At 43.6% G+C, this 27,663-nt stretch overlaps 1 protein-coding gene and 1 pseudogene across 2 annotated transcripts, besides 5 other annotated features; one reads left to right on the forward strand and one right to left on the reverse strand.

Moving 5' to 3' along the window:
- Window positions 313–942: a silencer, noted in NCBI's record as "silent region_1543". NCBI's record gives its function as "represses an Ori minimal core promoter by ATAC-STARR-seq in GM12878 lymphoblastoid cells {active_cell/tissue: GM12878}" and the evidence as "EXISTENCE:reporter gene assay evidence [ECO:0000049][PMID:35858748]".
- Window positions 313–1,300: a biological region, named in NCBI's record as "H3K27ac hESC enhancer GRCh37_chr1:168195163-168195896".
- Window positions 567–1,300: an enhancer, noted in NCBI's record as "H3K27ac hESC enhancer chr1:168195163-168195896 (GRCh37/hg19 assembly coordinates)". NCBI's record gives its function as "activates a minimal SCP1, AML or CMV promoter by ChIP-STARR-seq in primed H9 embryonic stem cells {active_cell/tissue: H9 hESC(primed)}" and the evidence as "EXISTENCE:reporter gene assay evidence [ECO:0000049][PMID:30033119]".
- On the forward strand, window positions 646–27,663 carry SFT2D2 (SFT2 domain containing 2). The gene is made up of 8 exons (NM_199344.3): window positions 646–784; window positions 6,156–6,242; window positions 6,476–6,561; window positions 9,743–9,824; window positions 11,231–11,266; window positions 11,354–11,412; window positions 13,773–13,802; window positions 17,143–27,663. The coding sequence occupies exons 1-8, from the start codon at window positions 722–724 to the stop codon at window positions 17,180–17,182; spliced, it is 483 nt and encodes a 160-aa protein (NP_955376.1). The 5' UTR covers window positions 646–721; the 3' UTR covers window positions 17,183–27,663.
- Window positions 1,603–1,682: an enhancer, noted in NCBI's record as "active region_2058". NCBI's record gives its function as "activates an Ori minimal core promoter by ATAC-STARR-seq in GM12878 lymphoblastoid cells {active_cell/tissue: GM12878}" and the evidence as "EXISTENCE:reporter gene assay evidence [ECO:0000049][PMID:35858748]".
- Window positions 1,803–1,852: an enhancer, noted in NCBI's record as "active region_2059". NCBI's record gives its function as "activates an Ori minimal core promoter by ATAC-STARR-seq in GM12878 lymphoblastoid cells {active_cell/tissue: GM12878}" and the evidence as "EXISTENCE:reporter gene assay evidence [ECO:0000049][PMID:35858748]".
- On the reverse strand, window positions 20,207–22,072 carry ANKRD36BP1 (ankyrin repeat domain 36B pseudogene 1; annotated as a pseudogene). Its single transcript, NR_026844.1, has one exon. The product of NR_026844.1 is annotated as an ankyrin repeat domain 36B pseudogene 1 (transcript).

Raw genomic sequence — 27,663 nt, forward strand, 5'->3', positions numbered from 1 at the left:
TTTAAGGTCAGAAAAAAAAACAATTGTACAAACACAAAACAATTTAACAATCTATTATTCCTTTCAACATTCCTTCAGTCACTTTTTTTTTTTTTTTTTTTGAGACAGAGTCTCGCTCTGTTGCCCATGCTGGAGTGCAGTATCCTGGTCATAGCTCATTACAGCCTGGAACTCCTTGGCTCAAGTGAGCCTCCTGCCTCAGCCTCCGGAGTAGCTGGGCTTCCAGGCACGCCCCACCACACCAGACTAAGGCCTTGAGTGATTAAAAAGAAAATCTTTTCCTGTGTAGGCACGATCGCAATATGGATGAACCACAGCCTTTGTTCCCGTCTGCACAAGGCTTCTCCCCCGTCTTTGTGTCTCCGGAGCCTTGCACGTGGTAGGTGCTCGGCATTCGTTGACTGGATCAAGTAGGGCGAGGGAGCGCGGCCCGTTCCGGTTTGAAACTGCTCTGGACGCCGAATTAGTGTTTGGCAGCGCCTGGTGGTCTTCAATCCCAGCCCCTCCGGCCCGCCGCGCCCCCCGGGACCAAAACAAGCGGAGGCGAGCGCGGGCGCGCGGGGCATGCCGGGAGCCCCCCGGTGGGCAGGTGCCTGGGCGGGGCGCGCCGCGGTTGGCGCCTGGGCGGCTGGGCGGCTGCCTAGCACCCGGAAGAGCCGTCAACTTAGCGAGCGCAACAGGCTGCCGCTGAGGAGCTGGAGCTGGTGGGGACTGGGCCGCAATGGACAAGCTGAAGAAGGTGCTGAGCGGGCAGGACACGGAGGACCGGAGCGGCCTGTCCGAGGTGAGTGAGCCCGGGGCCGTCGGCCCCCTCTCGCCGCGCTCCCGCCCTGCGTCCCCTGCCCGGGCCTGGGAAGCCTGCGGGGACTCCCTGGAGTTTCTGGACGGTAGCTCTGCCCCTTCTCCTCCTCTTCTTCTGCAGGGCTCCGCGAAGAGGTCTGGCACTACACGGGGCAGTGGCCGCGGCGTCCTTTTCTGCCCCGCGCCCCTTCAGCCCATCCTCCCTGACAAGGGGGCGGCGCAGGAGGAAATCCCCGGACTGAGCTGCGAGTGGGAGGGTGGGCGACTGGGCTGTCGGCCCCGGCCCCACCGGCCGGGGAATGCGCTTTAGGGCCGGGTAGGGCTGGGGGCCCCGAGGTCCAGGCGGAAGGAGCCTTTGCTGGGTGGGTCGGGGCCCCAGACCCGGACTGGGGTGTTGGGGTGGCGGTCCCTACCTCGCGACGGGGCTGGTGGCCGCGCCCCGAGCTCTGCCTTGGTTTTCTGTCCGGTTTAGGTTGTAGGGTGTGACACTCCCACCCGCCCCTGTACACATTGCCTTGTGATTGGGGGTGAGAAACTGCCCCCATCCCATGAGGACAGGGACCACATCTTGTGTCTCTGTCCACACTGCCCACAACTAGTCTCTAGACACCCAGCGCCTCAGGAGACTGCCTGCGTGTTGGTTTGTTTTATTAGAAAAGCTTTTTTTTCTTTTTTTCTGAGACAGAGTCTCACTCTGTCGCCCAGGCTGGAGTGCAGTGGCGCGATCTTGGCTCACTGCAGCCTCTGCCTCCTGGGTTCAAGCGATTCTCCCACCTCAGCCTCCCAAGTAGCTGGGATTACAGACACCCGCCATCAAACCCGGCTAATTTTTGTATTTTTACTAGAGACGAGGTTTCACCATCTTGGCCGGGCTGGTCTCGAACTCCTGACCTCAAGTGATCCGCCCACCTCTGCCTCCCAAAGTGCTGGGATTACAGGCATGAGCCACCGCGCCCGGCCTATTAGAAAAGTTTTGATCGTGCTGAAACCTGGCCACTAATGTCCTATGTTGTAGAACCACACAGAATGCTGCATTTCTATTTAGGGTGCTTTTAGCTTTTGTTTTCCTTTTTGGATGACAAAATAACGTTTCTCTTCGCTTTTTGGTGTATTCTTTAGCCTCCGTTCCCCATCTGTGAAATGAGGATGTTAAGATGATATGGCCAACTGGAAACTAATCAGTGTTTCTTCTGGTTTCTCAGCAAGTTCTTCTTTCTCAGCAAGCTGCTTTCACCCACGTTTGTGGTTGCTGATTTTATTCGGTTTTGTTTTGTGTGATACTGGGACTTAGCATGACATCTCCGAATGTAAGATTGCTCTCTGAATCTTCACCTTGAGGGAGTAATTCTATGGGATCGAATGTTGGAGTCACTGAAATTTAACTTTTTGATATTTCAAAACAAGTTGGTGGGTTCTTTTTAATTTGTTGCCTTTATTAATTGGTCAAGGCTCAGAGTAATTTCACGGGTTTTTTTTTCTTGATTTCTAGCCTCTATTATGAATCTCAAGTGGAACCTCAGACCGGGCCTAAGAAAGGTCTGACTCATAGGTAGCTGACCCTCGTTATTTAAAGCTTTATTTCCATAGACTGTCAACAAGCCTTTATGAACAATTGGTGCTTAAGAGGCAGACACTTTCTCTCCCTGCAGACTCTTGAGGGGTGGAGTGTTGACAGTGGGATGATGCAGATATTATTGTCTCGAAAATCATCACGAAGCAGTGGGCTGACCCTCAACAGTGGACGACTAGTAAAGTTTGCAAACATAAATGCTGAGCTTGTTTTTAACCTAAAATGGTGAACGTCTGTGTTGGATACTGTGAGAAGGGCTTTAATGTGTTATGCTGAGGCATCTGTTGGATCTAATTTAAAAAGAATAGGTGCTTCGTTCTTGTTTTAAAATACTTTGGTCAGTTGGTCAGTTTCCTCTTTCTGAGTGAGATTTCTGTTTATAACATCATTGTATGGCACTTCCAGAGTCTTGAATTCCTAGGAAATGTTTTGTTGCCGACTAACTTCATCTTGCAGGCTGTTTCAGCTTAGTGTTTACTGATTAGGTCAGAGCCTCCTTTAAAATATTGGTACTGATTTGATTGTCTCATATTTTTCATGGTTTGGGGGCTGGTAGAACTGGAGGATTCTGTGGGGAAATTGCTATTTTGTGTGGTAAGTTGAATTAGGCGCTCTTAAAATCTCTTTAAGAGGTCACTAGAAGAGAGTGCTTTTTAAAACCTTTATTCCTTTAATGCAAACCATAAAGGTGTGACTAGTTCTATTTCTCCTACCTCTCCTAGGTAGTTATAAAATTTGCATGGCAGTATCTAATTATAGCCTCACGTTGAATTTTGTGATTGATACCTCATCTTCATAAATACACCTTAAGTCTTTAGTTTCAATGGACTTCTTTCTGAAAGTATAGGTTTTATGTTTTTTATAAAGGATTCTGGGGACAAGAAAGGTATGAATAGTATCTAATTTTAAAGTGTGGAAATGAAGCAGTATTTCTTTCTTACCTTCTTCTGGTTACCAATCCTGTTTTTCTGAACAATTCTTAGTATTATTCTTGGCAAGAGCCCCTCTTCTCTCCACATCACAGAGTGAAAGGGACCTTTGTGAATAACTGCCAGTCAGACTGCCTGTGAGCGCATTGCCTACAAATTCCATCCAGGTACCATTTTAGCTACTCTAATTTCCAAAAACAATATGCTAGCACAGCTTCCAGCAGTCATGAATTTACAGACATTTTATGAGTTTGTTTTCATAATTTGGCAAAAAGAAGTGTTTTGCTTTCACTGAGTCCAGTTATGAGAAGTGGAACAACAGCTTCCTCCTTCCCTGACCAAGTGTGAATGTAAAAGAACTTGCAACCACATGTAATGGAAAAATACAGTGGTGAAATATGCCCCCCACCCCTTCCATTTTGGCAAACAGAGTAACATTTGGATGGATTCAGCTTGAGAGACTTGGATATGGAGTGTCACTTTCCTTTCTGAAGGTAGAAACCAGAAACACATTCTTGGCTGAACTGCTTCCTATTGTGGTTATTTTGATTTGTGTGAGGGCTGGAATCTCACTGAGACTGAGCGGAGTCTCGCTCTGTCGCCCAGGCTGGAGTGCAGTGGCTCGATCTCGGCTCACTGCAGGCTCCGCCTCCCGGGTTCAGGCCATTCTCTGGAATCTCACTGTTCTGTTGAGGTTATTTAGCAATCTAGATGTCAAAGCCAATTCAAATTTCATTCTTAACCTTATGGTTTATCCTCTTCAAATAGAAAGGTTGAATCTTTTAAAATTATCCGTGTTGATGCCATGTGGTGCTCAGGGAACCATCCAGTCCAATCTTACTACCACTTTTTTCTTGCTGCTGACAAGCCAGTCCAATCCTACTACCATGCTTCTTCCTGTGAACAAGCCAGGCCAATCCTACTACCGTTCTTCTTCCTACAGACAAGCCATGCCAATCCCACTACCACTCTTCTTCCTACGAACAAGCCAGGCCAATCCTACTACCGCTCTTTTCTTCCCACCTGCAGCTAGTTCTTTTCGCACCTTGGCAAGGTAAGTTCTTTGGTTTTTGCATGACTAGGAAGAGTGGTAGCTTCTCATTTTATTCTGTCCTTGGCGAGAGCTTAAATGCTTTAGTCCGAAGTAGCCTGACTAGATTGTCTGGGGCCTTGTAAAGCCTGCTACCAGAGCATCATCACATGGCTCATTTTGGAGTCCAAGGGGGTTTGGGAAACCAGACTCCTCCAGGAGAGGTTTACCTCAGCGTAAAACCAGGTGGCTCATCTGTCAGATCTTAACACTGGGCCCCTGCTGTCTGTTATCATCCCTAATTTGTGCCTTCTGTGCAGGGTCATGAGCCCAGTTCCATATATATGAATGTATAACCTGACCTAAATACCTTTCTCCTGAGTGGAGAGTAAGGTAGTCTTTGGCAATACGTGCCACACCTGAGGGGAGCCTCTCATCCTTCTTTTCAAGCTTCTGGTTTGACGGGAACTCTGGAGACAGGGTTGAAAACAGATCCCTGAGCTGGGGGTAGTCAAGGCTGACGGAGTTGCCAGTCTAATGACTCTTGACTTTCTGCCACTACCTACCTTCTTCCATCAGCTGGGTGGAAATATAGTAGGAAACTTTGACCACATTGCTAGATGGAGACTATGCTGGCCATACAAGGTGAGCCCTGTGTGAATATACATGGCCTAGCTGCCCTGTGTGGTGTTGGTCTCTTACGGCAGCTGTCTTTGTCCAGCTTGGAACAACTGTTCCCACTTGCATCAGGTGGACAGACTGGTAGGGTCACCAGTGCAAAAACTTTGATGTCATTTTTTTCCGAGACAGAGTTACACTCTTGTTGCCCAGGCTGGAGTACAATGTATGATCTCGGCTCACTGCAACCTCCACCTCCCAGGTTCAAGCAATTCTCCTGCCTCAGCCTTCCAAGTAGCAGGGATTACAGGCATGCACCACCACACCTGGCTAATTTTTTGTATTTTTAGTAGAGACAAGGTTTCGCCATGTTGGTCAGGCTGGTCTCGAACTCCTGACCTCAGGTGATGCGCCCACCTTGGTCTCCCAAGGTGCTGGGATTACAGGCATGAGCCACTGTGCCTGGCTGTTGTCATTTTTGACATGGGAAAAGAACCACTGGGAGCTACTCACAGGCTCTCCTGTTTCAGTAGTGTTTTTGGAACTCCTGGCTTCCCCTGAACTTTGCTCCAGGGAGGGATTAATCATGATGGCAAAGACTCAGGATGTAACAGGACAGTAATTAATTAACCAGGATCTGTCTCCCACTTGGATGAGTTGGCTGATGCCAGCATCCTGTAAGTACAATATCTGAACCAAGAGTGAATAATGTGGGTGAGAGTTGATGTAGGAGACGATGACCAGTGGAGCAGCTGCTTGAGTGCCGTCCCCTCATCTTTTCCTTATTTCCTGGGACCCTGCCTGGTGGAGGATCCCAGGTGGACTTGTGAGTCCCTGGTGGACGCATGCCTTTCCAGGTGTGGTCTTCATCCTGCCTGGGTTGTAGGAAGGCTCTGGGCTACTCTAGGATTGGCTGTCTTGCCTTCCTGTTCTTGAAATGGGTTGTGCTTGAGGCAAGGAGTTTCTACCTCTGAAGATGTTCAGCTGGAGGCACAGCTGTCAGCTGCTAGAGAGGAGATTCATGTCTGCATAATAACTTTACAGCTCTGATAAAGTCTGGATTTGATGACTTACATCGCCTGAGTGTGTAGGATTCTGTGCTCCTTGCCTTCCCTAATACAACTTAACACTTTCTAGATTTAGTTATGTGCTTGCTTTGTTTTTAGTAAATGTGTGTGTATATGTATTTTTTTTTTTTCAATTTTAGGTTGTTGAGGCATCTTCATTAAGCTGGAGTACCAGGATAAAAGGCTTCATTGCGTGTTTTGCTATAGGAATTCTCTGCTCACTGCTGGTAAGATTTCCCTTCCTCCTCTGTCTTTTCCTTCTACCTGTCTTTGCTATATATTCCCCCTTTTGTCCACCTCCTTTCCCCTTTTGCCCTTCACTAAAATGCATGGATGAGAGGAGAGGGGAATAAGGGAGGTGGGGAGGGAAACGGACTCCTCAGGGCTTCCTCTGGGAGCTCTGCTTGTGTGGCCGGGTGGGAGGGTTGCTCATGTGCAAACACTGTACTTTAAATTCCAGGGTACTGTTCTGCTGTGGGTGCCCAGGAAGGGACTACACCTCTTCGCAGTGTTTTATACCTTTGGTAATATCGCATCAATTGGGAGGTAACTGTTTTTTAAAAATCCAATTTTAGCCAATCATTAGATGGGAAAATGGATGTTGGTTGCCCTTGAGGGAGGTGAAAGAGGAGGCTCCAGTAGTTGTAAGGAATTTGGAGAGAAGTAGTTAGAATATCTCACATTCATATCTTATTATTTGAAAACATTTTATATCTTAGTTTGAAACACCTGGGAGAAAGCAGCAAATGTTTTGCCATCGTGATTTTACATGTACAGAAACTGCGACACAAAGCAGTTCAGTGATTTCTCCAGGGTTTACAACCCAGTCCTCCTGCTTGCTGTATTCTTACTGCTGTCAGAGATTGAGTTGATGGTTTTCAAAGGGCTCATCACTCCAGTGGCCATAAGGGAAACTGGTTTTTATTTAGTGTCAGACCTTCCCAGACCTGAGTAGCAGCTCATGTGGGCAGGGCATCTGAGCGCTTCCTGGAGGTGGGCAGCCCATTCTGCATGTTGTGGATGCACACATTTTCCAGGTCAAGCTCATTCACACTGATGCTTCAGTCACACTGGTGCCAACAACTCCACCCTCTCCAACTGGGAGCACTGGCCTGGCCTCTACCTGAATGACCTGCAGGAACCTGAGCTCAGTCATCTTGTTTCCCCCTTTTCCCTTCCCTTGTGTCTCTGTAAATGGCTTCAGAGTCCTGGGGGTCCAAGTCTCCCCTCCATGATTCCTCACCAGGGCTTGATGTAACCCTGTCTTACTGGCTCCTTCCTCTTTGTCCCCATGGCTGTTTGTGCTTCACTGACTGACTTGCATGCTCAATGGGTAAGCATTGATCACACTCTGTGCTGGGCTCAGAGGATACAAAGACAAGTCCAGTTTGGTCCCTGCCAGGCAGACAGACATATAACTCATGATATAACAAGATATGGAAAGAAATTCTCAAGGAGGGGCAGCCGACACGACCTGAGTCAGGGAGGGCTTCCTAGAGAAGGTGATATCTGAGCTGGCCTTAGCTTTGGCCTGTTATCACCCTTACCTGAGCAAGATGCATCTGCTTGGTCTCTCTGTCTCCTCCATTGCCCCTCTCAAGGCCATTTTCCACTGAGCTGTAGAGCCATTCGTTTATAGCCCTGCTTAGCCCCCTCAAGTGGCCCCCTGTTTTGTCTGTACAAATGAAGTCCAAATTCCTCAGCACGCATACAGTCAAGCGTCTTTGAGATCTGGCTTCACCGTTGTCCCATTCCCTATCCAGTGTGCTTCCCAGCCAGGCTGAACTTCTTGCATTTCCCAAAATGCCGTTGTGCCCTTGTTTGGTTGTTTTCTGTGCCTGGAATGCTGCCCTATCTGTACCTCCCCTGGTTTGGTAGATACTTGCTCATTTGTTAAGACCTGGCTCAAAAGCTACCTCTTCTATGAAGCTTTTCCTGATTACCTCCTCCTCTCCAGAATTGATGACCTCTTCCTTTGGACTCTCAGTATCACATCTATATTTATGTGCCAGTGCAGGTAGCATTTTATTACACTGACTTGTTAGATCTGTAAGCCACTTGATAAGGGCTGCACGTGTATCTTGTCCCCAGTTGTACCCAAACTTAGCTCTGTGTCTGGCTGGAAATGGGGGATGTTAATTAAATGATTGATTGCATGATTCTGGCTACCTGTGTAAAGCTTAATTTATTAGTGCTTATGACAGTAAAATGCTGACCCTTAGAGATGTCTCTTGTTGCCTGTAAAGCTTTCTCCAATACTAACTTTGGGTGGGGGGGTGTTTTGGGCAGACAGTGTAAGTTACATTGTATAGTCTAGACTGAGCATAAATATATGGGTGTGTTGCTTAGTCTAGAAGAGCTCTTTAGCAAATCCCTATGGGCTGGATTCTTCATAGACTGTGTAGGGAAATAATAAAGGGAGCAAATTGTTATTTTCAGGGTATTTGGGAGTTTGTGTCTTTGCCTGTAGTCTGTTATGGTTTTGTGTATATGCTATGTTTAATTTTTAGGACCAGCCTTGACTGTTGCTTCTTATTCGGTGTAGGTTAAAGAAGTGTTCTCTTAGTTGGGACACTTGAGAGTGAAGCCTTGCAACTTAATGGCACTTCAAAGAGAGGAAGACTTATTGGCCGGGTGTGGTGGCTCATGCCAAGTTGATGTGTTAGACATGACAGTCTGCTTCATTTGTGATTACTCTTGCTAGCCATCTCTCAAGTTCATTCATACAGAAAGCATGCTGGGGGCCAGGCGCAGTGGCTCACGCCTATAATTCCAGCACTTTGGGAGGCCGAGTTGGGCGGATCACGAGGTCAAGAGATCGAGACCATCCTGGCCAACATGGTGAAACTGTCTCTACTAAAAATACAAAAATTAGCTGGGTGTGGTGGCGTGTGCCTGTAGTCCCAGCTACTTGGGAGGCTGAGGCAGGAGAATCACTTGAACCCAGGAGGTGGAGGTTGCAATGAGCCGAGATTGCATCACTGCACTCCAGCCTGGCGACAGAGTGAGACTCCATGTCAAAAAAAAAAAAACAAACAAAAAAAACCCAGCATGCTGGGTCTGTCTTTTTAGAGCTTTGGAATCCAATAGCTATAGAGTCAAATGGTAGCTGTGTGATTTTCTCGTCTCTAAAATAAGTGTAATACATAACTCACAAAGTTGTTGAGGAGAAGAAATGAGGTAATATATGTAATATCTGGCATTTAGCAAACATTCAACAAATAACCCATGATGATATCATCATCATTAGAATTATTCCCTGAAGATTATGAAAGAAAATGAAATGCTCTACTTTTTAACATAAGCTACCTAAGCCTGTAAGGTATGGTTTTTCTTTAAACTTCCTGAGCCTTGTTTGTTTCCATGAGTAGTTATTGTCAGGGAGGCAAGGTAACACCTCTCAAGGAGAAGGCTTATCCAACCTAGTGGTATGATATGATTCTACAGTAACACCCACATGCATTTACAGCCTGGGTCTATCATTCCCTAGTTGGGTGGCCTTGGATAAAGTAACTCTGTGGGCTTTGGTGTGGTAATTGTTCCTACTTTATAGGTTGGTTGTTGATGGATTAAATGAGAAAAATGCACGAAAGGCCCTTCAGCACAGTCAGAATGAGAGCTTTTCAAATGTTAGCTACTATTGCCACAGGAAATCTTGGGGAGGCGACTCAGTGTGCCTAGTGCAGTTCTGTTCTGAACGGCTTGTGTGCGTGTGTTTGCCTTTTAGTACCATCTTCCTCATGGGACCAGTGAAACAGCTGAAGCGAATGTTTGAGCCTACTCGTTTGATTGCAACTATCATGGTGCTGGTAAGGTCTGCTTTTTAGCTGGACTTCTCAGATGGGAGTTTTTATTTCTATTGTATAGGATGTTTTTCTTTTTAAATCTAAAGACCTCTTCTCTTTTTCCGTTCAGCTTGACTTATTACCCTATTCCTATAACCATGTGGCAGAAGGGAACACTCTAAGTAATACTACGATCCCCTCCTCCCCTACTTTGTGTTTCAGTGGGTGTCAAGGTGCTACCAGTTCTGAAAAGCACCTCTAGAGGGCATTGCTTGTCAGATGAGCCACAGTGGTGTGGTGGTAGTAAGGGAGCTCAGACACCTTCCTGGTGACTGTGGAAGCCACACACAGGCAGGGCTTAGAGGGAATAACTCAGAAACACAGGACTCATTCTCTAGGGTGGGTGTCCTGTCTTATAGAATGGCCTCTTTATTCCTCATTATCTGACTTGGGGACTTATTACTGTTTTTCATCAGTCTCCCCAAAGTGGGAGTGGCCTCCTTATGGCCTGTCATCCTTGTACCCTGCTCTGACAACATTGTCTTTAGCTTTGTTGTATCTTCCTGTTCCATTGACCCTAAATGCCTCTCATTTTTGGCCTATTTTCTTCCCTGTGGTTGTCAAAATCATTCCAGACCTACATTCTCTGGACTTTTATAGCTATTGCAACATTTGGAACTTGAAGAACATACTTTTATTTTTAGTTTCATTTATATAATCTCATTTGTTCAAATAGGTGAGTTATCAAAAGCTGTGACCACATTTCCTGTTTATTTTGTGTCCTTTTAGAGTATTGGGCACAATGCTGGACACAGAGAATATTTAGGACATATTTGAGTAGTTATTGTTATAGAAGGATGGCGAAGAAAGGCATGGCTGACTGCTCTAGCACCAGTTGTCCTTGGCCAGCCTCAGATGCCCACGGCCTGGACAAGTCTCTTGCAGAAAGAGCTTTCTAAGAATGGCCTTAGGGAAAGTGTTAGGTGATAGGTACACAAGTAACTGGCATGCTGACTGTGAGATTGATATCTCAGGTTAACCTTTGTCCTCACATGTGCTTTCTGCTGCAGAGACTAGCATTTGGTAGGAGTTAAAATAGAAAGATTTGTGTTAAGCTTACTTTAGTGCATTTGAATGAAAAGATGGATGGACGGATGAATGGGTGGGCCTGAAATGTGATTTGTTTGCTGGGCAGAGGTTCTGGGAAAACTTGAAAGTAAAAGAACATCTTATCTATGTGAATCTTTATTGGCTAGTTTGATTTCATGGAGATTTTTAACTATTCTGCCAAATATGGGTGCTCAGGTGGGTTAACTGCTTTGAGATGAAGGATGCATAAGTTTTGTGCATTTGTGAAGAATAACAAGTTTTGAGTTTTTTTTTTCCTGCCATGTTATTGTCATTAATTAATGTTTCCTTTCTTCCTTTAGTTGTGTTTTGCACTTACCCTGTGTTCTGCCTTTTGGGTAAATGTATATTTTAATTTTTCTTAACCATTTTGGCTTTTGCCCCTTGTCTCACACTCTCCTATAACCATATTATTATTTTTCCAGTGGCATAACAAGGGACTTGCACTTATCTTCTGCATTTTGCAGTCTTTGGCATTGACGTGGTAAGTAACCTTTTAAACAATCCCCTCCCACATAGCCCACTGAATAATGTAGCCAAAGGAGATAAAACTCACATATTGTGGGTGGGAGAATTAAGAAAACACAGAAGCTGTTTAATTTAAGGATTCGTAATGATGAAAGTGAAGTCAGGCTCCAGAGCAAATGCCTATCAACCCAGCCCACTGCCAATAGATGGCATTAGTGGTCTTGAGTGGTCACAGGAGGCTCCTTGTTTGCCTGCTGTGGCATTTTTGCTGAACTAATGGTTGATTTTTGAGATGTTACAAATATTATTAAGCCACTCATGTCCGGTAAGTGCAAGGACAACAAAAGTATTATAAGGGATGTTAAAAAGGCTTGTGAGTCCAATAGAGGTTAACAAAAAAGGAAAGTGGTAAGAAAAATAATGAATGTTACATTTGTGATAGAATGAATCATTTAACAGAAGGACAAAGAGTGAACTGTCAGCAGGAGATGAGGAACAGTCACTGACGAAATGGAAAAACGTGTGTCTGTGGGCTGTAGGATCAGCGTATGTGCTCAGAGGCTTGTTGGCTTTTGGTAATTCAGCTGAAGAGTAGGAAATTGTAACTCCAGAGCCAAGTATAGTAAAAGGGCCGCTGGAGACATTTTGGGAAACCATGAGTGGGGCTGTAGGTTCATGGTCCTTTCAAGCCTATACGACCTCAGAGTGAGAGGGGTGGTGGCATAGTTGGAATCTGTAGGTTCCAAGACATTTCTGTAGTTCTTTCAAAGTTTATCAAGGGATGGTATCTGCCAGAACAGTTTCAGTATAGATGTGACTCACCTATTTTTGAAAAAAATGTTTGCTACAGTGTAAAGAAAGGAGGATTGTGGACATTTTAAAGTTCTGAAGAATTGGTTAACTCCTATTTGGTAGAAATGAATCTTGAGACTGTAAGCTTAACTCCCATCCCTCCCTTTAGCAATTTTGGACTTTTGAATAAATATAGTTACAAATTGCCTTTTGGAATTTACTGTGTTGACAAGTAATTGAGCTTCTGTACATGTTAAGTATAAGATATGGAGAAGGATGCTGGTGTTTGTGTTTATGTGTGTGTGTGTGTGTATGTTTTTTTTTTTTTTAAATGACATGCACATTTGAGTGGTAGACTGTTTATATTTTGATTTTTCTTCCAGGGCAGAAATTGGTACCTATATACACACACCTTGCTTTGCTTATAGACTGATTTTGAATCCAGTTTCAGAGGTTCAGCATTCATATGGGTCCAGCTGAATGGTGATATTCCCTTCAACACTCATGTGTTCTGACTGTGTTTGCTTTTCTAAGGGCTAACTTACAGTCTGCCTGACACACAGTGCCTGGTTCTTTAGCATTATGGAGCCTGTTCCTTGTATATGGTTTCCTTCTAAGTGACAGGGCTGAGCTAACTGGAATTTACCAAGATACCTTTGGACGTACTACATTTTCACTCATAGAGTAGTTGGTAGCATTTTTTTCTTCTTCTTTTTTATTCTCTTTTCTCTTCTTTTAAAATTAATAGGAGCAGAGCAGAAAATTTATCCCAATTAGGTAGAAGTTAAATTCTGTTTAGAATTTATAAAATGTTAGGAGTTCAACTGTGCCAGGTATGGGTGGCTCACACTGTAATGCCAAGACTTTGGGAGGCTGAGGTGGGAGGATTGCTTGAAGCCAGGAGTTTGAGACTAGCCTGGACAGTGTAGCAAGACCGGGTCTCTGCAAAAAAACAAACAAACAAACAAAAAAAAACATTAAAAAATTAGCCGGGCATGGTGGCACATACTTGTAGTCCCAGCAATTCTGGAGGCTGAGGCAGGGGGATTGCTTGAGCTTCCTAGACTTGAGCCTAGAAATTCAAGGCTGCAGTGAGCTATGATTGAGCCACTATATTCCAGCAGCCTAGGTGACGAGCACGACCCTGTCTCAAAAAAAAAAATAAATAAATAAATAAAGGAGGGGGGTGCGGTTCAACTGTTCTGGGTTTTATTTGATATTTTTTCAGAATAGAGTTTCTGTGCCATCTGGGTATTTGAAATCTGACTGTTTAAGGTGATTGTTGCTAGTTCAAGGTTATAGCAGTACTGCATTGAGGCCGAGGTCATACGGGTTATCTCCACATGAACCTTTTGCCCTTCTTCTGTGGCTGCCTATCTGTACATGGCCATAGTGTGTGTGTTTGGGTACACGTGCATGCACATGCGTGGGCCTTTGTGTGCACATGCTCATCCCCCAGGCTGAGTATGGGAGAGGGTCTGGATAGATCACTGCAGGTATTCTTACAGCTCAGAAGCCCATTCTGCTGGATAATCTGCTACTCCCTTCATCTCATTTGACCCTTTGTTTTGTTTTTCATTATAGGTACAGCCTTTCCTTCATACCATTTGCAAGGTAAGACTGTGTATTTGGAAATAATGATTTCTGTCATTTTAATTCAGAGTCTGCTTTCAGAGAGTATAGCCTATTTTATTTATCTTTACTGAAGTCTTTTGAGTCAAGTAGACAAATACTATACATCTCATTTATAGATAAGTAAGTTAAAGGTCACCCCACCACCCACTCTAATTATACAACTAATGATGGATATTTACCCAGGTACACTGATTTCCAATGCTGTGAACATTCTACTCTTATATATGGTGCATATATGCACATTATTACTCTTTTAACCCGTAGCTTTGAGTAGGGTTTTTTTTTTTTTTTTTTTTATAAAGGTGAATGTCATTTCATATCACTGAGTAAGATATGGAGGGATCTCAATTCGTGCTTCTTGCAGTATCCCACTGCTGGGAAGGTTTCACAAGAGTTTATAAAGGGAGAGTAAGCAGTACCAGGGCTTCCTAATTAGCAGTGTGACCTCGAGCAGCTCTCTTGACCCCTCTGGCCTCAAAGCATCGATAAGTAGACTGAGTTGGTCTAGATCATCTCCAGAGGCCTCTTTTAGCTCTGAAATTCTAATACTCCATACCTCTTTAAGCACTTTCAGTGACGGACCTCTCAAAATTAGCCGCATGATCTTTGCCTCTGACTTTGTTCTAATGCAACTATTTAACTTCTGTTCTTTTTTTTTTTTTTTTATCATTACCTGTTAATTAAAAACAAGCTTTTTAAAAAAACTGTACTGGGCCAGGTGCAGTGGCTCACGCCTGTAATCCCAGCACTTTGGGAGGCCGAGGCGGGTGGATCCTGCTGTCAGGAGATCGAGACCATCCTGGCTAACACAGTGAAACCCCGTCTCTACTGAAAATACAAAATATTAGCTGGGCGTGGTGGCAGGCGCCTGTAGTCGAAGCTACTTGGGAGGCTGAGGCAGGAGAATGGCGTGAACCCAGGAGGCGGAGCTTGCAGTGAGTCGAGATGGCGCCACTGCACTCCAGCCTGGGCGACAGAGCGAGACTCTGTCTCAAAAAAAAAAAAAAAAAAAGTACTGAGGAAATGAAAAATTATGCATGACTTGGGAAGGAGGAAGAGCAATCTTATGTCTTAACAAATTCCAAGACTGTTGCTGACAGTGATTTGAAAGTATTGAGGAGTGATTGATTGGATGCGAAGTTAAGCCTTTCAAGTGAAAGGCAGCTGAGTGGCTTTGTTGATAGATTCTAGGAGGGTAACAGTTATGAAATACTCCATGCAGACCTGGCTGGTTTTGGGGCCTGGTGGCTTGTCTGAGAAGAATATGGGCAGGGATGTCCTGGGAAGCTAGATTTTTATGTGAAGTAAACCGGAGTTCATCATTACTGAGGATCCAATGAGATATTGATCAACCTGCCAACATATGAATATTTTTTGGTCCCTGAACCAGCTGCATAGTTTTCAGGGCCCAGTGCAAAATAAAAATGTGAGCTTCTTGTTCAAAAATCATAGGCCGGGCACGGTAGCTCAGCCTATAATCCCAGCACATTGGGAGGCTGAGGTGTGCGGATCACGAGGTCAGGAGTTCAAGACCAGCTTGACCAACGTGGTGAACTCCTGTCTTTACTAAAAATACCAAAATTAACCGAGCGTGGTGGCGTGCACCTGTAATCCCAGCTACTCAGGAGGCTGAGGCAGTAGAATCGCTTGAACCTGGGAGGCGGAGGTTGCACTGAGCCGAGATCACGCCATTGCCCTCCAGCCTGGGCAACAGAGGGAGACTCTGTCTCAAAAAAAAAGATTAAGAATTTCAAGATGGCAACATCAAATCAAGGCATTAAACCCAATGTGGACCCTTCTGAGTATGGGGCCAATGCAGTTGCACAGGTCTCATTCGTGAAACTTGCTTGGAGTCATTTGTCAGAGCTTCAGTCTTGATCTGGATTGGCATGTATAAAATTTATGTACAAGTGATTGATAGAATGAGGGAATTTTATTTGAGATAGTGAGTTTCATGTGCTGAGGAGACGAATTACTCCTCTAGTAGGGAGGGAATCACAGAGCTAGATCCCACCCTTCTATTCTTTTTTTTTTTTTTTTTTTTGAGATGGAGTCTCACTCTATGGCCCAGGCTGGAGTGCAGTGGCCCGATGTCAGCTCACCTCAGTCTCCAACCTCCTGGCTTCAAGCTGTTCTCCTGCCTCAGCCTCCATGTGCACGCCACCATGCCAGGCTCATTTTTTGTATTTTTAGTAGAGATGGGGTTTCACCGTGTTGGCCAGGCTGGTCTCGAACTCCTGACCTCAAGTGATTGGCCCACCTCGGCCTCCCAAAGTGCTGGGTTTACAGGTCCGAACCACCATGCCTGGCCCCACCCTTCTATTTGTAAGTTCCCCTGGAATAGCTTTTCCCACAGTGTTCCACAGAAATAGTGTTTCTGTGGAAGAAAAGAGTTCTATGATCAAGTAAGTTTGAGAAACAGGTTAAGCAAAATTAGGTAGGTTCCTCTTTGCCTGGCTTGCTAGATCCTTCCATATGCTATGTGTATTGTGAGCTGCCATGAGGGGGACTTATGTGGCCATAAAACCCTTCTTGTGCAGAGACTCTTCTGAGACTACAGTGCAGAGTATATCTCAAGAAATGCTGCCCTGGAACCATCTTGATATTAAAATGCAGTGCCTACTCATGGAAATGCATCCATTCACCTCTCCCTCCCTTATGTGACTCCCAATGTCCTTAGTGCAGCACAGTTGAGAACGTGGAACAGAGCTGGGGTATGAGAAGCCTAGTGCCACATTGCACAGTGTGGTGTGGTGGTGGAAATGGAAGTGCTTGCTTGGGTAGAATAGTAATTTCTTGAAGACCAACTCTTCCTTGCACCCTCTACACTGAATTCCAAGCAGTAAATACCTGTGATAAGGCCATTATAGCATATTAATAAGTGCTCAGGACCCATAGTGAGCTCCCTTCTGCTGCCTGCTTAGAATGAAGAAAGGTCCCAGTTAATATTTGATTTAATGCTGTCAGTGCATTCTGTGATTTTGACCGATATTAAAGTGCAGCAATCCTGACTGATTTCTTAGTTTCTGACAGTCTATGTTATCTTTTTCTCTGATTATGATGGCTAATCCCATAATCAGACTGTCGGGTAAGTGGGGACATCCCCTCTTACAGATGAGGAATTTGAAACTCAAACAGGACAAGGAACTTTCCCAGGATAGTACTACTAATAAATGTTGAAGCTGCAGTTTGATGCTGTGAAGGTCTGATCTTTCAGTCTAGGTGCTTTCTACTCTGCAGCTTCCACTCTGGGTGCCCTCTAAAGGAGTGCCTTTGGGGTGATGACGTTCCACTCATCTTTGTGTCTTTTCTTTCCTAGGGATGCTGTGAAGAAGTGTTTTGCCGTGTGTCTTGCATAATTCATGGCCAGTTTTATGAAGCTTTGGAAGGCACTATGGACAGAAGCTGGTGGACAGTTTTGTAACTATCTTCGAAACCTCTGTCTTACAGACATGTGCCTTTTATCTTGCAGCAATGTGTTGCTTGTGATTCGAACATTTGAGGGTTACTTTTGGAAGCAACAATACATTCTCGAACCTGAATGTCAGTAGCACAGGATGAGAAGTGGGTTCTGTATCTTGTGGAGTGGAATCTTCCTCATGTACCTGTTTCCTCTCTGGATGTTGTCCCACTGAATTCCCATGAATACAAACCTATTCAGCAACAGCACATAAGCCTTGGGTGCAAGTGATTCCCAGGTGGCAAAAGGCAGCCCCATCAGAGATCACGGGAGCAACAGTAAGGGACAGAGTTTTGGGGTCCACTTGTCCCTCAGCATGGAAGCCATCACCGTGGTCCTGCATAGAGTGAGTCTGCTTCTACTCTGGCATCTGAGAACAAGTGACTCTGCTTTAGACAAGCCCCTGGAGAGCCTGGCCATGGAGTGAGGTAGAAAAGAAGCACTTTTTGGTGGTATATGCTGTTTCTGAATTTGAATCTAAGCATTCTTGGTGTTCTGATTCTGCGCCTGACTGTGGAATGTATTTTCTGACATTAGGTGCAGACTCTTTTTCTCTTGGGTTTTATTTCCCATCCCTCCCTCCCTCTCCCTGCATATCTTTCTTTATGACCTCCTGGCACTAGATGGGGAAAGAACAGAGCAGCAGCAGAAAATGCTGCTGTTTTTTTTTTGGACGAGAGCCCATAGGAGTTGAAAAATCCTGCTGCTCTCAGCTATATTTTTTTCTCCATTATTTATAAATGTTTGCTTTTAAACTGATTTTATTTTCCATTCTCCCCTGGAGTTGGGCCAGGGGAGAGTGGGGTGGGAAGACAGATCCCTGCTGTGCAGCCAGCAGGAAGTAGGCACGCCTGCCCAGTGACCTTTAAATAGTCCCAGTGTTTGCACTTAGCCTGTGCTGGGGACACTGGGGATAAACTGCAGGTGGTCTCATGTCAGCCTGATGCCTAACCTACAAAGTGCTTTTGTGTCCACGATCTTACCTGGTTCTTATGGAGAGCCTTGTGAGGAAGCAGGGATTGTTATACCACTGTGCAGTCAAGGGAATCAAGGCCCACACTGGTTTTTGGATCCACCCAAAGCCACAGCTTCAGCCTCCTTCATGACCCCAGAGTTTCCTGGCCTGTTTCTGGTTGTGCCTCCTGTAACTGCCTGTGACTGTTTCCCTCGTTTTCATCAGCCAAGCCATCTCCTCCCTGGCCCTCCCTGCCCATCTCTTTTGGAAGCTTCTTCCTGGATCTGCAGGATGTTCACTGTCCCTTGTGTTCCCTTTCAGCTCCTCCTTGTTGCCTGACTACGATTAGTGCCCTGTCTTGTCAGCCAGCATTCCTGGCCCTCCAGGACCTCCAGAGTCATCCTACAAATGACGTTTATCTGGATTGCCTTTCTGTTCTTTGCACAGGGCCAACTGGTCCACTAGGGCTCCTCCTCTGTCACTGCTAAACCAAAGGAAGTGGCCTGCTGGTTGTCCCCTTTCTTGTGGCTAATTGCTGAACCTTTCTTTGTCCTACTGTGGCTAAGAACTCTGACTGGTTTTTTTTTTTTTTTCTTTTTGAGATGGAGTCTCACTCCGTCGCCCAGGCTGGAGTGCAGTGGCGTGATCTCTGCTCACTGCAACCTCCACCTCCCGGGTTCAAGCAATTCTCCTGCCTCAGCCTTCCAAGTAGCTGGGATTACAGGTGCCCGCCACCACGCCCGTGCTAATTTTTGTGTTTTTAGTGGAGACAGGGTTTCACCATGTTGGCCAAGCTGGTCTGGAACTCCTGACCTCAGGTAATCCGCCCACCTTGACCTCCCAAAGTGCTGGGATTACAGGTGTGAGCCACTGTGCCCTGCTGATCTTTTCTTCTGAGGCTGGGGAGGTGTGAACAAGCCTGACGGGGCCAGAGAGAGGAGCTAGTCTTCCCAGGTTCTTTCTAGGCTATTGATGACATCCAGTCATCTGCTCAGGTCACTAACCTGTCCTCAGCCAGGAAAGGAAATTTTATGCTACCCCTCTGGCTTTTGTGGGATTCTTTCACATCCCAGGTGCCTCTTGGAGACAGATCTCAGAAGGGCTGTGGTGTCAGAAGGGACATGGAGGAGGTCAGGAGGGCTCATGGTTCCTTTTCTTTAGAACTGATACGAGGCTTGGCTAGTCACTGTGAGCTCCAGCAGCTCCAGCAGCCTGGAATAAGACACCTAGAAGGCTCATCCCTCCATGTCCATGTCCTTTTTTTTTTTTTAGATTGAACAACCATGCTTTGTTTAAAAAATAATCTCAGCAAACTAGGGATACAAGAGAATTTCCTCAACCTGTCGAAGGGCATCTTTAAAATATCTACTGCTAACATCCTATGTAATGATGAAAGGCTGAATGTTTTCCCCTAAGATTGAGAATAAGACAGAGATGTCAACTCTTACCACTTCTATTCAACGTTGTACTGAAAATTCTAGCCACTGCAATCATGTTTTAATTGGGAGTAGGGGGAAAGAGGGAGGGAAGGAGAAAAATGAAAGGCCTTTAGATTGAAAAGAAATGAGTAAAACTGTCTATTCACAGATATTATCATCTATGTAGAAAACCAAATCAAATCCATTACTAAGTTACTGAAACCAGCAAGTGAGTTTCGCAACACAGCAGGATATATAATTGATATACACAAATCAATTGTGTTTCTCCATGTTAGAAGTAAAGAATTAGGAATTGAAAATTTAAAAATAATACCATTTACAATAGCATTAAAATATAAAATTCTTGGGAATAAACCCGACAAACTATGTGGATTATCTGTACACTGATAACTAAAAAGCATTGCTAAGAAAAATTAAGACCTAAGTAAATATCTTGTTGATAGGTTGAGAGACTCAACATTGTTGATGTTAATTCTTTCCCATATTAATCTATAGATATAATGCAGTCCCCATCCAAAGCCAAGCAGGCTTTTTTTTTTTTTTTTTTGTAGAAATTAAAAACTGGTTTTAAGATTCACATGGCATGCAGATGATCTAGAAGATCCACAGTAACTCTCCTGCTGTGCAGCTGGTTCCTAACAGGTCATGGACCTGTCCATGGCCTGTAGGTTGGGAACCTCTGCTACAGAGGATCCAGATTTAAATTCAGAAGAAGCTTCATCTATTTCTGTAGTTTCATTTTCTTGCAATAACTGCTGCATCAAACTTGAACTTCGCAGGATTTTCTGAAGCTGCTCAATTTGGCCATCTTGCTTTTTAATTGTATTTCTTAACACTAGAATTTTCTATTTCAAGTTTTTGTACGTGGCCTTGCGTCTCCTTAGTACATTTTATAGTCGCTGTAAGTTGATTCCATTTTTCTTGAAATTGAATTCTCATCTGACCTAATTTCTTCCTTGAATCCTACATCTCACTTTCTCAATGGACGCAGTGACGCAATGAAGCATCCAGCAAAGCTTTTGTTGTTGATTGTTTAGGACGTCACCCTGTTTTTGTTGAAGTTGTCTCACAACTACTTCTCTTTCTGCTTTCTCTCTTTCATATTGACATTGTTTTTCTTTCAAATGATTAACTTTATTGATCATCCTCTTGTTCTTCTAGCAAAAGACGGTGCTTTATGCACTCAGCTTGAAGATTTTGTGCTGTAGCATCACATTTGGCTTGACTATCAATTACTGTTTTTTCTTGATTGTCAGCTTTGTTGTGAACATCATCCAGTTGCTGTTGAAGCAACATATTTTGTCTTCGTAGTTGACATAATCTTACTTGCTTTTCTGTGCATTTTTCTACTTTATCTTGGCCACTTGTGTACATTTTTTCAATGTCCTTCATTTGACACCGTTTGGTTTAGCTCTCTTTGTATGTGTTCAAAAACCAAAGCGTTTTCTTTCAGAGCCTCTCTTGTGTTATGGAGCTCAGTTTTGAGGCACCTGGACTTACTCTCAGCTTTAGAAAGTTGCTGAGAAAGAATCAGAACATGAGAATTCAAATTTTCCTGTAAATGACGCAATTTATCTACTGTGCCCTGGAAATCAAGCTCTTGGTCTCTTTCTGTTGAGTGACTTTGATCATGATCATGTAGAGCAACATTCAGTCTACGATGGTATGATTCCATTTCGTCAGTCTTTGCCTGCTTTGTTTTTCCTTCTCCAGTTTAGAACGGAGCATTGTGTTCTCATCTGTCAGAGCAGTAAGCTGTCCACTATAATGGGCTATCGTTTTTGTTGATTTTTCCCCATTCTGTTTTAGAGCCTTTTGAAGGTCTTCATGCTTTCTTTTTATAATTTCAATGTCTTTTAAGTATTTCTTTTCCAGGATTTGATTTTTTATTGTGTGTATTTCCAGCCTGAGCCTGGCAATTTCATCTTGCATCAAATGGTTTTTATGCAACAGGTCTTCTTCTTTTTCATGACTATCAGAAATCTCAAACTGCAGAGTTCTTGTTCCCATTCAAGTTTTTGATATTCTGTGATATTTCTTTTTTTTCAGATAGTCTCTTTTGTAGTACACTAGTCTTTTTCATTTTTTAATTTTTACTGTAAGTCACTCAGTGATTATCTTTAAGTTCCACTGATCTTTTACATAAATAAACTGCATTTTTAATTTTCTTTTTTTATATGAGATTCTGGAAATACTTCTTTTTTTAAATTATACTTTAAGTTCTGGGGTACATGTGCAGAACATGCGGGTTTGTTACATAGGTATACATGTAATGTTATCCCTCCCCTAGCCCCCACCCCCGGACAGGCCCCGGTATGTGATGTTCCCCTCCCTTTTCCATGTGTTCTCATTGTTCAACTCCCACTTATGAGTGAGAACATGTGGTGTTTGGTTTTCTGTTCTTGTGTTAGTTTGCTGAGAATGATGGTTTCCAGCTTCATCCATGTCCCTACAAAGGACATGAACTCATCCTTTTTTTATGGCTGAATACTATTCCATGGGTGTATATATGCCACATTTTCTTTATCCAGTCTATAATTGATGGACATTTGGGTTGGTTCCAAGTCTTTGCTGTTGTGAACAATGCTGCAGTAAACATACATGTGCATGTGTCTTTATAGTAGAATGATTTATAACCCTTTGGGTATATACCCAGTAATGAGATTGCTGGGTTAAATGGTATTTCTAGTTCTAGATCCTTGAGGAATCGCCACACTGTCTTTCACAATGGTTGAACTAATTTACACTCCCACCAACAGTGTAAAAGTATTCCTATTTCTCCCTGTCCTTTCCAGCATCTGTGGCCACCATGCCACTTTTTAATGATTGCCATTCTAACTGGCATGAGATGGCATCTGATGGTGGTTTTGATTTGCATTTCCCTAATGACCAGTGATGATGAGCATTTTTTCATATGTTTGTTGGCTGCATAAATATCTTCTTTTGAGAAGTGTCTATCCTTCGCCCACTTTTCGATGGGGTTGTTTTGCTCTTATAAATTTGTTTAAGTTCTATGTAGATTCTGGATCTTAGCCCTTTGTCAGATGGATAGATTGCAAAAATTTTCTCCCATTCTGTAGGTTGCCTGTTCACTCTGATGATAGTTTCTTTTGCTGTGCAGAAGCTCTTTGGTTTAATTAGATCTCATTTTGTCTATTTTGGCTTTTGTTGCCATTGCTTTTGGTGTTTTAGTCGTGAAGTCTTTGCCTATGCCTATGTCCTGAATGGTATTGCCTAGGTTTTCTTCTAGGGTTTTTATGGTTTTGGGTCTTACGTTTAAGACTTCCTCTTTTCCTAATTGAATACCCTTTATTTCTTTCTCTTGCCTGATTGCCCTGGCCAGAACTTCCAGTACTATGTTGAGTAGGAATGGTGAGAGAGGGCATCCTTGTCTTGTGCTGGTTTTCCAAGGGAATGCCTCTAGTTTTTGCCCATTCAGTATGATATTGGCTGTGGGTTTGTCATAAATAGCTCTTCTTATTTTGAGATGCGTTCCATCAATACCTGGTTTATTGAGAGTTTTTAGCATGAAGGGCTGTTGAATTTTGTTGAATGCCTTTTCTGCATCTATTGAGTTAGGGAGGATTCCCTCTTTTTCTATTGTTTGGAATAGTTTCAGAAGGAATGGTACCAGCTCCCTTTTGTACCTCTGGTAGAATTCGGCTGTGAATCCATCTGGTCCTGGACTTTTTATGGTTGGTAGGCTATTAATTACTGCCTCAATTTCAGAACTTGTTATTGGTCTATTCAGGAACTCGACTTCTTCCTGGTTTAGTCTTGGGAGGGTGTATATGTCCAGGAATTTATCCATTTCTTCTAGATTTTCTACTTTATTTGCGTAGAGTTGTTTATAGTATTCTCTAATGGTAGTTTGTATTTCTGTGGTATCGGTGGTGATATCCCCTGTATCATTTTTTATTGCATTTATTTGATTCTTCTCTCTTTTCTTCTTTATTAGTCTGGCTAGCAGTCTATCTATTTTGTTGATCTTTTCAAAAAACCAGCTCCTGGATTCATTGTTTTTTTCGTGGTCTCTATCTCCTTCAGTCCTGCTCTAATCTTAGTTATTTCTTGTCTTCTGCTAGCTTTTGAATTTGTTTGCTCTTGCTTCTCTAGGTCTTTTAATTGTGATGTTAGGGTGTTGATTTTAGATCTTTCCTGCTTTCTCTTGTGGGCATTTAGTGCTATAAATTTCCCTCTACACACTGCTTTAATTTTGAAATGGAGTTTTGCTCAGTTTCCCAGGCTAGAGTGCGGTGGCATGATCTCAGCTCACTGCAACCTCTGCCTTCTGGGTTCAAGTGATTCTTGTGCCTCAGCCTCCCAAGAAACTGGGACTACAGGCATGTGCCACCACACCCGGCTAATTTTTGTATTTTTAGTAGAAACAGGGTTTCACCATGTTGGCCAGGCTGGTCTCGAACTCCTGACCTCAAGTGATCCTCCTGCCTCGGCCTCCCAAAGTGCTGGGATTACAGGCGTGAGCCACCATGCCCAGCCCCATGTCCTTTTTAATGCCTGGATTGACTTTGTGGGACATGAGGCCAAGGTACCTTTTAAGATGTCACCTGTATAGCATACTAGTAGTGAATGTAGGCTTTGAAGTCAGATGCATCTGGCTGTGAGCTGTGACTAGTCATATACTAGTTGTGTCATTTTGAACAGGTTACCTAACCTCTGGCTCCTCAGTTTGTTCATCTGTTTAAAAATTGTGGGAATAACAGTTCCTGCTGGGTCATTGCAAGATGTCAGTGAGACGTGTCAAGTGCTTAGAATAGGGCTTGGCATAAGTAGAGTCTCAGTAGGGTAGGTGTTATTTAATCCCAGAAATAACTGACAACTTTGGAAGATGAGAGTGAATGTCTCCGATCATTAATTTATTTAACAAATACTTATCTAGTACTATGTGCCCGGCGCTGTAGACACTGCCATGTTTTATCTCATTCAATATTCACAGTGACTGCCCAGTGAATGGTATTGCCTCCATCCTCTGAGAAGGTAAAGAGCCTATCCCAGACCCCACGAGTGGAGGCGTCAGGGAGGGGTTCTTGGCAGGAGATGGGTCTTGTAGAAAGGCTTCTGCTTTGCTTTCACTCACGGCCTGTGGCCAGTTTGCTCAGACAGCTCCCATCAGGACACCATTGGCAGCTTTTGCATGACCCTGCCTCCCAGGGTCTTCCTGCGTTTTTCCTTAAGTTGCCTTATTCTTTGGTTGTTTCCCTACTTGTTTTTGTTAGACTGTGGGAGGAAGAAATCCATTTCAAATCTGCTGAAACCTGTTACCAAGCAACAGCAGTGATTAAAAGCAACCTGATGAGTGAGTAAAGAATTAGGGTTTCAGACCTGTAGTTAATGATGGTCTCTGTCTCCCTGCTGCCCTGCATTCCCTTCCCTTCCGTTCACTGCTGGGTGAAGGAGGGCTTGCTGCATTTTGGAAGTTAAGGGAACCAATAAGGTGACTCTTTTGCAGATTGGAATATGGTGCTCAGCCAGCCATATGGAAGCACTGTCCTGGCGTGATCTGCCCTGGGCTGTTGGCTCTCTGAGTGCTGTCTTGGGAGGAGCACTGCCCTTCAGAACAGAAGAGATGGCTTCCAGTCCCCTCTCCCCCTTCTCCCAGTCTCTCTGAGGCTGCTTGTTGGGTATTGGGCGTGCTGTGTACTAACTCACTCCCGTCTCTTGTCTCATTATCTGAAATGCATCCCCTTTTGCAGAAAGGGCTCAAACGGAGCCTTCAGTTCTGCTCCTCTGCATAGCCGTAGCTCAGATCCTAGCTCAAGATGTCTTGTCTGGGAAGGGCAAAACATGGTCCCCAGTGTAGCATTTTCACTGGGTTGATTATCTCAGTGGTGGATCATCTATCACCCTTGTGTGGTGACTTTGTGAATTATCTGCCTGAGTGCCACTTCCCTTCCACCCTAATCACTGCAGGCTCAGGGAGCAAGAAATAAAATCATGAAATGCATTCCAAATAAAATTACCTTTTGGCTGGGTGCAGTGGCTCACACCTGTAATCTGAGCACTTTGGGAGGCTGAGGTGGGTGGATCGCTTGAGGTCAGGAGTTCAAGACCAGCCTGGCCAACATGGCAAAACCCCATCTCTACAAAAAATACAACAGCAAAAAAATCAGCCAGGCTAGCTGGTGTGCGCCTATAATCCCAGCTACTTGGGAGGGAGGCTGAGGCACAAGAATTGCTTGAACCCAGGAGGTGGAAGTTCAGTGAGCCGAGATCGCACCCCTGCACTCCAGCCTGAGCAACAGAGTGAGACTCTGTCTCAAAAATAAATAAAAAAAAAAATCACTTTTTGATACTTCTGTTAAAATAGATAATAAGGAACCATATCTTAAAGTGTGGAGGATCTGGCTTGGCTTCTGTTTTTGATAGCTCTATGAAAGTGACAGATTTGCATCATGAGACTTAGTGGAATGAATTGGGAAATTGAAGGGCAGCCCAGTGGCTATGGATTCTATTTTCTATGGGACTGTCTACGCCAGGCTTTATTTTCTCTTTGCTCAGATAACTTCTGACTAGAGTCGACGGTAGGATTATAAATGGTTTAAAATACGTATTCTCAAACCTCATTTTCAGCATATAAATTTTTAAGAATCAGTGTTTAAAGGTACGTGAAACCATTTGCTAGATTTTTGTCCTAGTTTTTTTTTTTTAATTTAAAAATCTTAAGTTTTTTTTAGTAAGCTTAAGATGTCCAGTAGTTTATTTGCAGACAGCATTTTTAAAAAGTGAATAGATGTTTAACTGAAGTTAAATACAAATTTATGTCTGTGTAACTCTTGGTAAGATATAACAAAACCTAGACATCTAAATTTTTTGGAAATTTTTATTTTAAAAGTTTGTTGGGAGGTAAAATTGTGTGACTTTACCTTCTGGTTAATAGTTTTATAGTTAAGAAGAAAGTCCAGCGAAGTTTACTTGATCTCAGTTGCACTCAAGAATAGGGGATTTAGTTCCACTTTGGTTATTTTCACTTCTACCCTAAATTCATAGTCCCTGATACTTAAGCTTTACCCTTGGCTTACCAGTTTTCATTGCAGCGAGTAAATGGGGAGTAGCAGAGCCTTTGTTAATGTAAATTGACAAAAAGTATGTCCTTTTCTAGCAGGAGCAGATAAACTGATAATGGTCTTAGAAATGTAGAAAATGATTTTTTGTAGACAGGATGATCTGTCTAGATTGTAGCAAATGATGGTACATATTCACAACAAAGTTGTGCCACTACATTTAATAAACAGCCACAAACAACAAAAGGACAACTGGTCCCCGATATAAATGGACTAGCTACCTGGACATAATATCCTTGTGAGGCATCCTTAAAGGACAAATTGCAGCTGGTATTTGGGTGAATGTTGTTGCTCTGTGCCTGTTGAATGTCCATGCTACAAGAAGTTATGAGCCTTGTTCTAAGTACAGATGAACCTTGTATTTGTGTAATCTCCCAAGGGAGAGCTATGGTTTACATTCAATTTTTTGGTCTTTCTGCTATGAAACGTGTTTATTTTGCCTCTGTCAATGTGTTTGCAACCTTAAGTAAGGAAAGGGAAAAAAAAAATAGCCCTCTGAACTCTGATCTTTTGCCGCTTCTGTAGATTTTGATTGTGAAGTTGGGAGTGAGGACATTCAAAAGCCCATGGTGAATGCATATGCCTTTAGAATATTGTGCCTGTTTTAAAATGTTTGAGCTTTTAAAATACGTTGTTAAAACATGAATCCATTTTTGTAATTGTATAAATACTCATAACTAATTTTGAATGCTACTGATTGTGTAACTGAATTTTTGTATCCAAAAATACATTCTTGAGTACTACTTTTCCTACCTTGAAAATCTATTTCATTTACTAAATATTGTTTTCTTTATGCTAACTTAACTTTAAAAGGAATGTTGCCAAGCTGTCTCTCCTCCCCCATCACAATTGTTAGTTTTTTTTGCTTTCTTTCTTCAATAAATGATAGCATTATGATCTTTAA

The sequence above is a fragment of the Homo sapiens genome, chromosome 1, assembly GCF_000001405.40.
Source record: "Homo sapiens chromosome 1, GRCh38.p14 Primary Assembly".
NCBI classification, from domain to species: domain Eukaryota; kingdom Metazoa; phylum Chordata; class Mammalia; order Primates; family Hominidae; genus Homo; species Homo sapiens.

Coding starts and splice junctions, on each gene's coding strand:
- SFT2D2 (NM_199344.3), top strand. CDS start 722: ATGGACAAGCTGAAGAAGGTGCTGAGCGGGCAGGACACGGAGGACCGG. Junction 785..6,155: donor ACCGGAGCGGCCTGTCCGAG/GTGAGTGAGCCC, acceptor TTTCAATTTTAG/GTTGTTGAGGCATCTTCATT. Junction 9,825..11,230: donor TTGCAACTATCATGGTGCTG/GTAAGGTCTGCT, acceptor TTCTTCCTTTAG/TTGTGTTTTGCACTTACCCT.